Genomic DNA, 16049 nt, shown 5'->3' with positions numbered 1-16049 from the left:
TAAACAGTAATCGCCTCTGGATATGAAGTTTGAGAGGTGGGGGATGAGAAGTGGAAGGAAAGCTACATTTTCAACCATATACCTTTTGTCCTGAGTAAATTTCAACCCTACACGTTATTACTTTTAAAGACTGTTTTTATTAAATATTAAGTAAATACAAAATAATTTTTATTTAGCGTAAGAGTTATGATATAACTTTTCTTAAGCACTCAATTTAAGAAAAAGAACATTATTATCAGTTTTCAAGTCTCTTGTGTATCCTTCTCCATTTCCATTACAATCTCTCCCCCTCAGAGAATGACCGATATCCTAAATTTTGTATTTCTCATTCCCTGGTAATTCTTCACAGTTTTACCACGCTTGTATCTCTAAACAATCTATTCTCTAAACAATATATTCTTTAGTTTGGCATGCTTTTGAACTTAATATAAATGAAACGTTACTGTATATGTTTTTCTATGAGTAGTTACCCCCAACTCAACACTCTAGTGCTGAAATTCATCCATGTCATTGTATATAACTAATTCATTCATTTCTACTACTGTAGAATATTTCATATAAACATATCATAATTTATCAAAGAGACTGGTATCCAATGTGTATAAACAGAAGGTCGGTATACTGGAACTGAAAAAAATATAGCATGTTTGAGATTACACATACATATAAATATACATATACAATATATACTCTATCTGATATAAATAGTTCCATTTGGTGATATCTTATACTTAAAATGGCTCTCAGTGGCATAATATCTCAATACCAAACTCCTCTGCCTGAATATAAGCTGGGATTGATTTTTATATATAGTGATGGTACATGGGCCCACAAGAAGTATACATGTGTTTCAGTTACTGTACATTTTTGTCATGCAAGTATTAATTTTTTGCTTTTTTTTTTGAGGTGGAGTCTCGCTCTGTCACCCAGGCTGGAGTGCAGTGGCACGATCTCAGTTCACTGCAGCCTCCATTTCCTGGGTTCAAGCAATTCTCCTGCCTCAGTCTCCCAAGTAGCTGGGAATACAGGTCTGCGCCACCACACCTGGATAATTTTTGTGTGTTTTTTTTTTTTTAGTAGAGACGGGGTTTCACCATGTTGGCCAGGCTGGTGTCAAACTCCTGACCTCAACTGATCTGCCCACCTCAGCCCCCCAATGTGTTGAGATTACAGGTGTGAGCCACCATGCCTGGCCAAGTATCACTTTTTCAACACACACACACACACACACACACACGTTCTTTTATTCTAGATATTATAAACAAATAAAAATCAGTAGAAATCTAAAAAATACTTACAGTTCCTTCTTTACAGCATAATATTTAGTTAGGTATTTCTAGAGTACCTATGTATACCAAGTAGGACATAATGACTACATTACTGAGCAAAAAGTAAGTAAAAAAAAGCAAAAGCAAGAAAATGAAGAATTACACAAAAACACGAATAAAAAGTATACAATTTCTAAAAACATAACTTTCAGAAAGCACAACTTACCTTGAATGTTGAAAGCCCAACTTTTCCTGGAGACCTGTTCAGAAATAAAAGTAAGGAGGTGTTGAATAGAGGAGATGAGAAGACAAATACTTCTATACACTTACTACAGACAAGTCCACATTTAAAAAATGTGTATATATTTTGTGACTGAAAAGTCTTGTGTGCACGTAGAAAATGTGGAAAACAAAAAGTGGAAGAGAGGCTGGGCGCAGTGGCTCACGCCTGTAATCCCAGCACTTTGGGAGGCTGAGGCAGGCGGATCACCTGAGGTCAGGAGTTCAAGATCAGCCTGAATATGGCGAAACCCCACCTCCACAGAAAATACAAAAATTAGCAGGGTGTGGTGGTGCGTGCCTATAATCCCAGCTACTTGAGAGGCTGAGGCAGGAGAATCACTTGAACCGGGAGGCGGAGGTTTCAGTGAGCCGAGATCATGCCACTGCACCCCAGCCCTGGTGACAGAGCGAGACTCCATCTCAAAAAGAAAAAGAAAAAAAAAGTGGAGAAGACCAGTCTGGTCAACGGAGTGAGACCCTGTCTCTACAAATAATTTAAAAATTATCCAGGTGTGGTGGCTATTGCCTGTAGACCCAGCTACCTAGGAGGCTGAGGCACAAGGATTGCTTTAGCCCAGGAATTCAAGGATGCAGTGAGCCATGATTGTGCCACTGCACTCCAGCTTGGGGGAGACAGCAAGATCCCATCTCTTAAAAAAAAAAAAAAAAAAAAGAGAGAGAAGAAAATTAAAGTGATTCATACATAATCTTATCACCTAGAGATCTGAGTATCTTTTATCTTCATATGTACATATATAGTTGTATATGACATAACACTACTTTCAAACTGCCAACTTGTACCTGTTTACACTCCTACTGCTCTGTGAATGCCTGTTTCTTAATACCCTCACCAAAAATAAGTGTTATTTTAAACTTTTTTTTACCAAGTTGACAGGCAAAAGTATATCTCATTGGTGTTTTAATTTGTACTTTGATTTCCAGTGTGGATGAAAATTTTCATATGTATTAGACATTTATATCGATTTTGAAGAGAGATACCCATTTTTGTTCTCAGCTTTTACTTTTTCTTTTTTTTTTAAAGACAGAGTCTTGCTGTTGCCCAGGCTGGAGTGCAGTGGTGTGATCTTGGCTCACTGCAGCCTCGACCTCCTGGTCTCAAGCGATCCTCCAGTCTCAGTCTTCTGAGTAGCTGGGACTACAGGCATGCGCCACCACACCCAGCTAATATTTTGTATTTTTTTGTAGAGACAGGGTCTCACTATGTTGCCCAGGCTGGTCTTGAACTCTTGGGCTCAAGCAATCCTCCCATTTCAGTCTCTCAAAGTACTGAGATTACAGGAACGAACCACTGTGTACCACTCTCAGCTCATTTTTCTACTGGAGCAAGACTCTGTTCTTAAACAGACTACTCTGGATGTAATACATATTTTTTTGAGATAGGGTCTCACTCCGTTACTCAGGCTTGAGTGCAGTGACACCATCATGGCTCACTGCAGCCTCAACCTCTTGGGCTCAAGCAATCCTCCCACCTCAGCCTCCCAAGTACTGGGACTACAGGCACGTGCCACCATGCTCAGCTGATTTCTGTACTTTTGTATAGAGACGGGGTTTGCCATATTGCTAAAGGTGGTCTCGAACTCCTGGGCTCAAGCAATCCACCCGCCTCATCTTCCCAAAGTGCTGAGATTACAGGAGGGAGCCACCGCACCCAGCCTGGATGTAATAATTTTTAAAAGTAACTTTTCACCATTTCACCCTTTCCCCCACATTTTTTTTTTGAATAGGAACAGTCTGATATCTGCTTCAAAGCATAAGGCTACTTAGTTATACCTTGGGGTTATGCAATAGGAAAGTTTTAAATAATTAATATGCCATTTCTAATTTTTTTTTGGTAAAATCCAATGATTACATGATGCAAATTTGAATTGAAAGGCACCTTCAAGATGATCTAATCACACAGCCTCTTTTTACAGATCAAGAAACTGAGATTCCAAGAGATTAAGTGACTTTTCCTCAAAGTCGTATTTTGGAGCACAACCAAGAGAAGAAATGAGTCCTACTAACATGTTTTTATATGCCAAACTGGGTAATGATTCCTTTGGTAGAGGAATCCTTGACCTCTAATAAAAACTTAATTTGTTAAAAAAATTACTTTTGAGTAACAGAAAATCAATCCCTTTACTCAACAAACATTTATGGGCTGGGTGCAGTGGCTCATACCTGTAATCCCAGCACTTTGGGAGGCCAAGGCGGGAGGATTGCTTGATCTCAGGAGTTTGAGACCAGCCTAGGCAATATAGTGACACCCCATCTCTACAAAATAAAAATAAACCAGCCAGGCATGGGGTTGCACACCTGCAGTCTTAGCTACTTAGGAGGCTGATGTAGGAAGATCACTTGAGCCCAGGAGCCATGAGCCATGATTGTGCTACTGCACTCTAACCTGGGTGACAGAGCGAGACCTTGTCTCAAAACAAAAAATAAAACCAGACACCCAAAGCTGACATTTATGAATTACCTACTATGTACCAAGACTAGAGATACAAAGATAAATTAGATAAAATTCTAGTTTAGGGGAGGGAGTTAAATTTGTTTAGAAAACAAAAAAAGTAGTTGTCATAAAATAGTACCCATTTAATTACAATGTCTGGTCAATATAAATATGTGTTAACAAAGGACAATTTCCAGAAATGAAAACATATATTGCTAATTATTTTGGTCCCCTGACAAACTTACACTGCAATGTATCAAAATCCTGTTTATCTAGAGTTGATTAGTTAGGACTGAGGCTAATCCATACTCAAAAAAAGAAAGAAGATTCCACACAAATTGATATCTTAAATAATACAAGTGCAATCAAAACAACAACAAATATTAAAAAGCAAAAATGAAAAACCTGTTTGTTTTTTTTTTTTTTTTTGAGATGGGGTCTCACTTTACTGCCCAGGCTGGTCTTGAACTCCTAGCTTCAAGCGATCCTCCCACCTCAGCCTCCCAAAGTGCTGGGATTACAGGGGTGAGCTACTGCACCTAGCCTGAAAAACCTTTAAGGGGCACAAATTTCCATGTGGTACAAAATTCAGGATGCCAATCACCTGCAACAAAGGCATAAAGGTAAGAAGGGTAAGATATTTTAAAATTAAGCCCCATATGAGGTAGAGAAGGGAAGAAACTTGGCCTTTCCAGCAACCCTCACACCTTGAGATATCTGAACAGGTTTTTTAGCTGTCAAAAAACAAAATAAACAAACAAAAAAAAACCAGGAAGCCATATTTATTTCTTGTGTGCCACTAGTTTCAAAAACAGTACTCTCTGGCTGTTGATTCATAGGATCAAAGTTATTGGCTAATTACTGACACACATGGAAATATATGGAAATATTCTAGATTGGTTCTGGTGGGGCTTTACATATAACTGTGTACAAACTATACAGAGTAATTTATTATTTTCTTTTGAGAGACGAGGAGACAGTAAAATATAGGCTTTTGAGCAGATGAACCTTGCTTCAATATTGTTTCTACTATTTATCCTATGTGTGATCAAATCATTTCTCCAAGCCTCGATCTCATCCTCTGCAAAAGGGGGTAAAACCATCTATTTCATAGAACTTCTATGAGGATGAAGTGAGTGAGTACATGGGACACACATGATAGTGTAGTCTCTTCAGCAGCTCTGAAATGCTCCAAGTTTCTCAAAGGCACTTTGGCAGTCTGTCAGTAGTGGGGAGCCTGAGACCAATTTCTGGAATACAGCAAAGGTCCCCTATAGCCTGTCAAGTTCCAGCACATTTAACGACAGGGAACATGAAAAAGCTATATCATATTGAGCTGGTGATTAAAATGGGATCCTGCTTGCAACTGGGTGACATCACTAAATAAAAAACTAGTAACAAAAGACACTCATGTTTGAGGTATATGTTAAATGTTACAAAGTTGTTAAGGCCTTGGTAGGTAGGAACATTTCAAACTACTACAATTTCAAGTCTATTAAGCCTAAAACTGTCTTTAACAGGGTAATCTGTAAGAGTAGAATTCCTTTGTGACAAATTTCTAAATCCATTTGTAGAACATTAATGCCTAGTAAAAAGTGAAGGCATATTTATAACTTGCAAAGTTGGCTAAAATGATTTGTATCATGTGCCAAGATGAAAAAAAACCAATTCATTTCACCCTAAGAAGCAATAAAAAACATTATTTAGTATTATCACACAAAACTTTCCTAATAGGGGCCTTGTAAAAATAATAAAGCACCGCATATTCTCACTCATAAGTGGGAGCTGAACAATGAGAACATATGGGCACAGGGAGGGGAACAACACACACCAGGGCCTGTCAGGGGGTGGGGGGCTAGGGGAGGGATAGCATTAGGAGAAATACCTAATGTAGATGACGGATTGATGGGTGCAGCAAACCACTGTGACACATGTATATCTACGTAACAAACCTGCACGTTCTGCACCTGTATCCCAGAACTTAAAGTATAATGAAAAAATAAAATAAAATAAAATAAAATAAAACAATGGCCATCATTTATTAAGCATTTGCCAAAAACTATAACACTTGACATGTTTTAGCTTCTTTGGTCCTCACAGCCCTCCTATTAGGTGGTTATATTACTTGCTCTATTTTACATAACAAAAAACTGGCTTGAGTCAGATTAGGTCATTTACATTGTACAGCTAGTAAACAGTAGGGCCAGAATTTGACCCTAGGCAGCCTGACTCCAGAGCCCATTCTCTCAACCACTTCGCAATACTGCCTCCTCTCTGGGTAAGGACTTAAAAGAAGATAATTATGAAAACACTGTAACTGGTGCTGTGTATGAGCACCAAAGTAAAGGCAATTAACGCTGCTTCTTGAATTGGACTAAACTGATTAAGTCAAAGGCTCTGAATCCTGACCTGCCTTTAACAACTACAATTAACACCTAATTGCCTTGGACTGCTAGGGAATGAAATAATGAAACGTTCCACATGTAAAATTTCCAGAGAGATGAAGCTTTTGAGTGCCAAATTTTTGATAATATTTTAACTATTTTTGAATTTAAAAATCTCAAAAGCAGCTTGTAAATAAGTACATGAGTAGGTTAAACCTTGCAGTTTCAGTACTCTTTCCCTGAAAATATCTTCTTAAACAAAGGATATACAATTGTCCTTCTTAATTATCACGCTCAAATACTACATTATATTTTAATACACTTTAGGGACCCTAAAGTGCAGATTTATTTGCCTTCAAGGACCCTAAGTTACTATGCCTGGAATGTCTGTGTTTTATAGTTTTATATTTCCTTCCTCACTTTAAGTGGTCACTTCTTTTTGTTGTTGTTGTTGTTGTTGTTTTATTTTTTGAGACGGAGTTTTGCTCTTGTTGGCCAGGCTGGAGTGCAGTGGCATGATCTTGGCTCACTGCAACCCCCGCCTCCCAGGTTCAAGCTATTCTCCTGACTCAGCCTCCCAAGTAGCTGGGATTACAGGTGCCCGCCCCCAAGCCCGGCTTATTTTTGTATTTTTAGTAGAGATGGGGTTTCGCCACATTGGCCAGGCTGGTCTCAACCTCCTGACCTCAGACGATCCGCCCTCCTCAGCCTCTCAAAGTGCTGGGATTACAGGCGTGAGCCACCGCACCCAGCCTATAAGCGGTGGCTTATTACAGTCAGCCATGCGCCTGCATTTAAAAGCTTTCTTCCCACCATCCTTCTCACTTGTGCTTCTAATCTGCATTGAGCTGGGAAACCAGATTTCCTTAATATGAAATTGTATGGTGAAGGGAGAATCTAGGGATCCTAAGGGTCTCCCCATGAGACTTTACGTACATAATCTTATTTTGAACTTTGTGGCACTTTTTTTTTTATTGAACTGTTCAGAGGCTTTTTAAATGCTTATTTCTTGTTTTCAGCTGTATCTTGAGAACTGTCATTACCACAGAGGTGGCCAACAGATAAGTGAGGTGTTATTAATCTTCAGTATCCTTAGACAACTCAAAAATTCTCTGTAAATAAGTCTCTAATGTCAAAGTAGAGATAGTAACAGTAGACTATTTCAGTGTTTATGTGCCTAAAGAAAACAACTATTCATGTTCAAGTTTGGGGATGGGAGGGAGAAATGGGGAACTAGATGTCAAGAAAATTAAGTTCTACTCTTAGCTCTCCCACTAACTAGCAGAAATATCTTAAGCAAGGGATTTTAGAGTTCCTATAATTTTAGGGAATTTTGTCTTAAGACCATTAGTTTGAGAGTGGAGACATAATTTGTACCATGATTAATGATCTAAATATTATATCCTCTAATTTCCCTTAAATTTGAAATATATTATATAAAACACGGATATAATCAGACATACACGTACATACCCAGAAATGTCCAATAATACTTTGCTACATCTAGTTAACTAGAAAAATATTTTTTTCTCCAGTGATAGCAGGAGCTAAAAAAAAAAAAAAGAAATAAAAAAAGAAAAATAGAAAAATATTTCTTCAAAATATTCTATAGATACTAAATGGGGTAAATTGGATTTATCCTTTTTACATATTAAGGTAATTTTTTGCAGAAAAAGTTCAAATGTCTACATAAAATAACTTTATTAAACCACACACACGGAAAATTTTTCAGAAAACTCTGAAGTTACATGTAGACATATTTGAGTATTGGTGGTATGTTTTTAAAGAAAACCCGACAAACCAAAATGAGAGCTTCAAAAGTTCATTTTTTCTTTCCAAAGCTTTCATCATAGGGCACCTTTAAATCAAATATTTCTGATGCATTTACTATCTGATCAATAAATATTTATTTAAATAATAAATATGCTTCTTACAAAGTTGAACAAAAATACAAATTTCAAGAGCTAGGCTTCCTTGCTCACCTAACAGCAGAAACAAAACAAAACTCAAACTTCCAACATATTAATACTAATTACAAATATGGTAAATCTTTAAATCAAGCAAATTAATATATTCTTCACTTTACATACTGATCTTTTGTGGTGAGAACATTCAAAATTTACTCTCTCAGCAATTTTGAAACATACATTGTTATTATTATAGTCATCATGCTGTGCAATAGTTCTCCAGAACTTATTCCTCCTAACTAAAACTTTGTACCCTCTGACTAATATTTTCCCATTCCTCAGCTGCTCCCTACTCCCCCAACCCCCGGAAACTACCATTCTACTCTCTGCTTCTACGAGTTCATCATTTTTACATTCCACATACAAGTGAGATTATACAGTAGTAGTCTTCCTATGCCTGGTTTATTTCACTTAACATAATGTCTTCTAGGTTTATCCATATTGCCACATATGACATGATTCCATTCTTAAGGCTCAATAGTGTTCCACTGTGTGTTGGCCATCTGTCTGTATGTCTTCCTTTCAGAAATGTCTGTTCAGGTCCTCTGCCCATTTTTAAATTGGGTTGTTTTCTGGCTACTGAGTTGTTTGAATTCCTTACATACTGTGGGTATTAATCCCTTATCAGATGTATGGTGTGTTAGTCCATTTGCATTGCTATAAAGAAATACCTAAGGCTGAGTAATTTATTAAAAAAAAAAAAAGAGGTTTAGGCTGGGCACGGTGGCTCATGCCTGTAATCCCAGCACTTTGGGAGGATGGGGCGGGTGGATCACGAGGTCAGGAGATCAAGACCATCCTGGCCAATATGGTGAAAACTCATCTCTACTAAAAATACAAAAATTAGCTGGTGTGCTGCTGCGTGCCTGTAATCCCAGCTACTCAGGGAGGCTAAGGCAGGAGAATTCCTTAAACCAGGAAATTGGAGGTTTTAGTGAGCCGACATTGCGCCACTGCACTCCAGCCTGGCGACAGAGCGAGACTCTGTCTAAAAAAAAAAAAGAGGTTTATTATTTTAGCTCATGGTTTTGCAGGCTGTACAAGAAGAATGGTACCAGCATCTGCTCCCGGTGAGGGCCTCAGGAAGCTTCCAATCATGGAATGCAAAAGGGATGCATCACATAGCAAGACAGGAAGAAAGTGGGGGAGGAGATGCCACCCACTTTTAAACAACCAGATCTTGCGTGAACTCAGGCCAAGAAGTCATTCATCGTGAGGACAGCACCAAGACATTCATGAGGGATCTGCCCCATGACTGAAACACCTCCCACTAGGCCTACCTCCAATACTGAAGGTCACATTTCAACATAAGAATTGGAGGGCACAAAACATCTAAACCATATGTTTTGCAAATATTTTCTCCCAATCTGTAGGTTGTCTTTTCACTGTTGTTTCCTTTGCTGTGCAATTTTATCAGACCAATTTTAGTCTGACACAATCTCATTTGTGTATTTTTGCTTTTGTTGCCTGTGCTTTTGGGGTTAAATCCAAAATATCATTGCCTAGACTAATGTCAAAAACAGCAAAATTTTGATTTTGCAGCATAGTTTCTGAAATTGAAGACAGTGTCTATCAATGCTGCCAATGAATTTAAACACAAAAAGCAACGTCTGAAACAGCTTCAAAATAAATTCTGATTCAAATAAGTACTGATATTCTACTAAAAAACCCACATGGCTTACAGATCAAATACTAAAATTATTTAGTGTGTCTTCCACTTAGGTTTTGAATATAAAGGCAATTTTAAGATTAGTACTTCAGCAACTTTCAATATAAATAGAACATTTTAATGCATTATATCCTGTTTTCTATTAGAAAGTTATTTTCGGCTGGACGTGGTAGCCCACACCTGTAATCCCAGCACTTTGGTGGCCGAGGCGGGCAGATCACAAGGTCAGGAGATTGAGACCATCCTGGCTAACACGGTGAAACCCCATCTCTACTAAAAATACAAAAAATTAGTCAGGCGTGGTGGTGGGCGCCTGTAGCCCCAGCTACTCGGGAGGCTGAGCAGGAGAATGGCGTGAACCTGGGAGGCGGAGCTTGCAGTGAGCCGAGATCCCGCCACTGCACTCCAGCCTGGGTGACAGAGCAAGACTCCATTTCAAAAAAAAAAAAAAAAAGGCCGGGCGTGGTGGCTCACACCTGTAATCCCAGCACTTTGGGAGGCCGAGGCGGGCGGATCACGAGGTCAGGAGATCGAGACCACCCTGGCTAACACAGTGAAACCCCGTCTCTACCAAAAACACAAAAAATTAGCCGGGCATGGTGGCGGGTGCCTATAGTCCCAGCTAGTCGGGAGGCTGAGGCAGGAGAATGGCGTGAACCCGGGAGGCGGAGCTTGCAGTGAGCCGAGATAGGGCCACTGCACTCCCGCCTGGGTGAAAGAGTGAGACTCTGTCTCAAAAAATAAAATAAAATAAAAAAGAAAGTTATTTTCATACACTAGTACACTAGCTAACATTTAGTTTATATTAACAAAGCTCATGTCTGAATATAAAATAGTTTATTACATGCTTTCTCCAGTCCCTATTCATTTAGCATTTTAATTATAGAAATTATTTTTGGCCAGGCATGGTGGCTCATGCCTGTAATCCCAGCACTTTGGGAGGCCAAGGTGGGTGGATTGTCTGAGGTCAGGAGTTTGAGACCAGCCTGGCCAATGTGGCGAAATCCCATCTCTACTAAAAATACAAAAAGAAAAAAAAAATTAGCCAGGTGTGGTGGTGCACACCCGTAGTCCCAGCTACTCAGGAGGGTGAGGCAGGAGTGTCGCTTGAACCCGGGAGGCAGAGGTTGCAGTGAGCCGAGATCCACCGCTGCACTCCAGCCTGGGTGACAGAGCAAGATTCTGTCTCCAAAAAAAAAAAAAAAAAAAAAAGGAAGAGTATGTGGATTGCTACTTCATATGATTAGTGGCATCACACAGAGGCCTTTCCAGTCTCCCAACACTTCTCCCCTCTAGCTGCCCTGTGATGTCATGCAAACCTTTCCCAAAGGCCCTTGGTAAACACTGCTGGGAGAAGCAACAAGAGAGGTCATCAACATCCATGTATCAGCCAAGACAAGGCTTCAGAAGGAGCTGGAGGAATGCGGAAAGGTCCTCAAGAAGTATATATATATATATATATATAGTCACTATTTCAAAACATGTATGTGGCTTCAAAACACTGTTCTGGTGATTTTATAAAACGGTATAGGAATTAGTTTTCTTTTACAAACTCTGACCTGATTCAGCGATAACCTACAGATACCTGAAGCAAAATTTCATAATAAGGTCATTACTCCCAATGATAGGAGCCTAGTCACTGATGCGATGACAATAACTGCCACTTAACCAAAAGTTGCCCACTGATTTTTCCTTGGGAAGCAAAATGTCAAATCCTTTATAAACTCTGACATAATAGTACTGCATTCAATACAACTGAAGCAAAAAGCACAAGTATGCAAGCAAAGGGAACATTTTAGTAACCTTCTTAGATGGCTACACTTTGGAACTTGCTAAACCTGACTCTCTAATTTAGTATGTTGAGAACAGTATGCATGTACTTTATAGAAATAAATACCAATCTAACAGAAAATATATAACAGTAGTCTATTTTTAAAGAGATTTTGATGCAATATAGCAACTGTGGTTTTTCTATAACAGTTATTCAAAGTGAGCATATTACCTACTGATGTCACCTAGTGTTAAAGAAATTTACAGTAATCCTTTTCAAAATCCTAAAAGGATTTTAAAAAAATCAGTCAGAAGGCAAGAGTACTTTTTTTTTCAGTGTTTGAAGGAAACTTAAGAATCATTTAGATCAACTGTCTCATTTTACATGTGAGGGAAATTATGCCATCGGTTAAATTAATCCATTAATTCAACATTTACTGATTGTTTCCATGTACCTGGCATGGTCCCAGGTATTGAGTATAAAGTAGTGAACAAAACAGACATGGTCCCTGCCATCTTAGAACTTATGCTAAGGCCTAGTGAAGACTAGGACCCAAGTTTCTTTGCTGGTTCTAATAACCCATGCAGCCTCTCTACACTAGTAAGTCTAATGTCCCTTATGGTTTCACATAGGTAGGTAGCCAGTCAAGTGAAACTGTGACCCTTTAGTAAGGCCTTAATTTATCTACAAGTACTACCACAAATTTCTCAGGGAAAGCTTGGGGGTCCCAGAGACTGAAAGGACAACATGACATCAATCTGAAAGTACAAGAGCTATAATTTTAGCTACACACACACAAAAAAAGAGCAGAATCAGGAGACCTGAGTTTTAGTCCCAAATCTGCCAGTAAAAATCTATGTGACAATAAATATTTAGGGGGAGTTTTTCCAACATTTACTTATGGCTATTTCAAATATATACAAAATTGGGAGAATAATATTATAAACCCAAATATACAACATGTTGATCATGTTCAACAATGATAAAAATATCAGTACTCCTCTTCCACCCCTCTGCCAGATTATTTTGAAGCAAATCCCAGAAACCATTTCATTTTTTTTTTTTTTTGAGACGGAGTCTTGCTCTGTTGCCCAGGCTGGGGTGCAGTGGCGTGATCTCGGCTTACCGCAAGCTCCGCCTTCCAGGTTCACGCCATTCTCCTGCCTCAGCCTCCTGAGTAGCTGGGACTACGGGCGCCCGCCACTGCGCCCAGCTAATTTTTTTGCATTTTTAGTAGAGACGGGGTTTCACCGTGGTCTCCATCTCCTGACCTCGTCATCTGCCCGCCTCGGTCTCCCAAAGTGCTGGGATTACAGGCGTGAGCCACTGCGCCCGGCCGAAACCATTTCATTTTTAACCATAAATATTTCAGTATGCATCTAAAAAGGACAAAGATTTCTCTTTAAAACATAACCACAACACTACTATAAAATTTAACAATTCCTTATTATATACATTAATAGATTATATATATTATATATAACATGCTGTTATATAACATTCAGACTTCCCAGACTGCCCAAATTTTTGTACGTTTGGTTTATATCAATCAAATACGGTCCATATATTACAATCAGTTGATATGTCTCTTTCGATAAATCAGCAGGTTCCCCTTCAATCTCTCTTATTTCTTGCAATTCATGTGTTGAAGAAAGTAGGTTGCTCATCCTGTAGAATTTCTCATGTCTGAATTTTGTTGATTGCATCTTCATGGTGACATGTCAGAAGAAATATTTTTTTAAAAACATGCAGGAGAGATTGGAGGGATGGAATGGGCACATATCCAAGAAAAATTGCAAAAACCTGTAAGAACATTATCAGAAAGGCTGGCACTCAGAATGTGCTAAGATTTAAAAAAAATACCGGAGACAAGATTTTTCTTAATTTATACTCAGAACAAGCACAACAAATATAAAGTGCAGGTCTACTTATATATGGATAAGTATACGTTATTATAATGTAAAAGGCTATCTCAACTTTTTTTTCTATTAAGATTACTGATAGTCAAACCAGAAAGGGAAAAACAAATTGTAGAATGAGGAAACTGAATCCCAAAGCATTCAAGGAGATAAAAGTACCTAACTATTAATATTATAAGTGACTTCCATTCTACTCTCCCAAATTATGTCCCAGTGTATCTGAGAATTTGCAGAGCTCAATTTCCATCTAAAACCTTTGAAGAATCAGGGGAATGGAAGGGGATGATGTAAAGAAAACACTAATAGTCAACTCTGCAAAGCAGGTAGATGCCTAGATGCCACCAACTACAGACAGATTGATTTGATGTCAATTCCAAACAAATTTCTTAAACACTGTTTAATTGTTTAAGAGCCCTATGCAAGGGAAAAAGATACTCATTAAGAGTCAGCAAGCATTCACAGAAGCCAATCATGCAAGATTAACCTAATTTCCTCTTCTGATAGGGTTACTGGCCTAGAATAAAAGAGAATATTGCACACACACAAAAATCCGGTTTTAAGCACTAAATTACTTTCTACCCTACCTGATGTTCTTACTAATATCTTGGATAAGGATACTGATGGCATATCTACTAAATTTGCAGATAACACAAAGTTGAGAGAGACAGGTAATATACTGGCTGACAGGACCCCAAAATTTTTCTTTTTTCTTTTTTCTTTTTTTTTTGGAGACAGGGTCTTGCTCTGCTGCTTAGGCTGGAGTGCAGTGGCACGATCATGGTTCACTGCAGCCTCGACCTCCCAGGCTCAAGCAATCTTTCTGCCTCAGCCTCCCAAAGTGCTGGGATTACAGGTGTGAGCCACTGCCACTGGCCACCAAAATATTTCAATGGGCTAGAACAATGGGTCAAATCTTAACGGTATGAAATGTAGTAGGGATAAATGTAAAATGCACGATGGGAGAGACATGGCTTAACAGCAAATCATGTGAAAACATTTAGGTATTTTGGTTGATTGCTCAGACAAAGACTGTGATATGGCTGCCAAAACTACTGTGTTTTTAGGCTGAATTATCAGAACTATCATGTCCAGAGCAAGGGGAATGGTAAGTTCTCTTCTACTTCTTACTGATAAAAGCACATTTAGGAACATCATATACTTTTTGAGATTCATTTTAAAAGGAACACTGATGAAACAGAACATACTCAGAAGAGAGAAATCAATTTGGTGAATGTTCTAGAAACTGAGTGGAATGATATAAAGAACTAAGGATGGCTAACCAGAAGAAGATAAGGAAGAAAAGTAGTTGTTTTCAAATGTTTGAAGCATTATGCAGCAGAACTAGGACTAAGAGTAGAAATTACAAAGAGATAGGCTTTTGTTCAACCTAACAATCTCAGTAACAACCTGAGTTTAGAAAAAGCCATGAGCTGCTTCCCTGATAAAGTATTAAAACAGAAACTCAATGATGTCTCAATAGGGATATTGTAGAAGGCTGGAACAGACAATCTCTGTGGTCTTGTTTCTATTTCTAAAGCCACAATCTCTTTAAACCTCAGTTTCCACACCTGTAAAATGAAGGAGCTGTATTAGTTGAGTCTTTAGGCCCCTTCATTCAGTCAACAAATCCTTATTGGTTATCTACCATGTGCCAGGCACTTTCAGGCATTGAAATACAAAGGGTGAGAAAGATCCAGCCCTTGCCCACAGAAAGGTCACAATCTGATAAGCTGAGGAAAATATAACACATAATTTCAATATAAGGTAACAATTGCAATGAGAGACACAAGCACATGATAACCTTGAAGCACAGAGGAGGGGCACCTAAGTGTGTATGTAAGTGGGAGAAGAGGACATATTTGGATAGGCTTTCTGGAATAGACCCTCCAGCTATTTCTACAAGACAAAATTATATAAGACTACAGAGAGCTAGAAGTGCTTTAAAACACTAAATAAATTTACACTAAACACTAACTTCAGCTTAATGCTCTAAACTGGCACTTGCTAAAGATGAATTTTTCTGCTTACTGATGGATATTGTAGACTGTCATAATAGTTTTTACAAACGAGGAGTTAGAAATCTAACTTTTAAAAATTAATCAAGGAAAACAGAGATTTCTGATTTTTTGTTCCAGGAATCCTAAAGTTTAGGCCTAGCTCATTTGAATTAATCACTTAATGCATGCTCTACCTGCTGTTTTTCTTTCCTTTAATTTGGCATATAATATATCTGAACAATCAGTAATCTTTCCAAGTAAAGACAAAAACTGAAGATTCACCACTGTAGACATCAAGTAATAAAAATGAAATTTTCACAAACCAAAGAGTTTAATTATT

General features: G+C 38.4%; 1 protein-coding gene across 4 annotated transcripts in view; it reads right to left on the bottom strand.

Moving 5' to 3' along the window:
* Positions 1-16049, bottom strand: part of WDR44 (WD repeat domain 44) — a 103889-nt gene that overhangs the window by 70015 nt on the left and 17825 nt on the right. For all 4 annotated transcript variants that reach the window (NM_001184966.1, NM_019045.5, NM_001184965.2 and 1 more), the window contains exon 2: positions 1495-1528. In NM_001184966.1, coding sequence (NP_001171895.1) covers positions 1495-1528 — 34 coding nt within the window. The remainder of the gene's footprint in view (positions 1-1494; positions 1529-16049) is intronic.

Source organism: Homo sapiens, chromosome X (genome assembly GCF_000001405.40).
Source record: "Homo sapiens chromosome X, GRCh38.p14 Primary Assembly".
NCBI lineage: Eukaryota > Metazoa > Chordata > Mammalia > Primates > Hominidae > Homo > Homo sapiens.
This window is presented reverse-complemented; position numbering and strand designations above follow the sequence as displayed.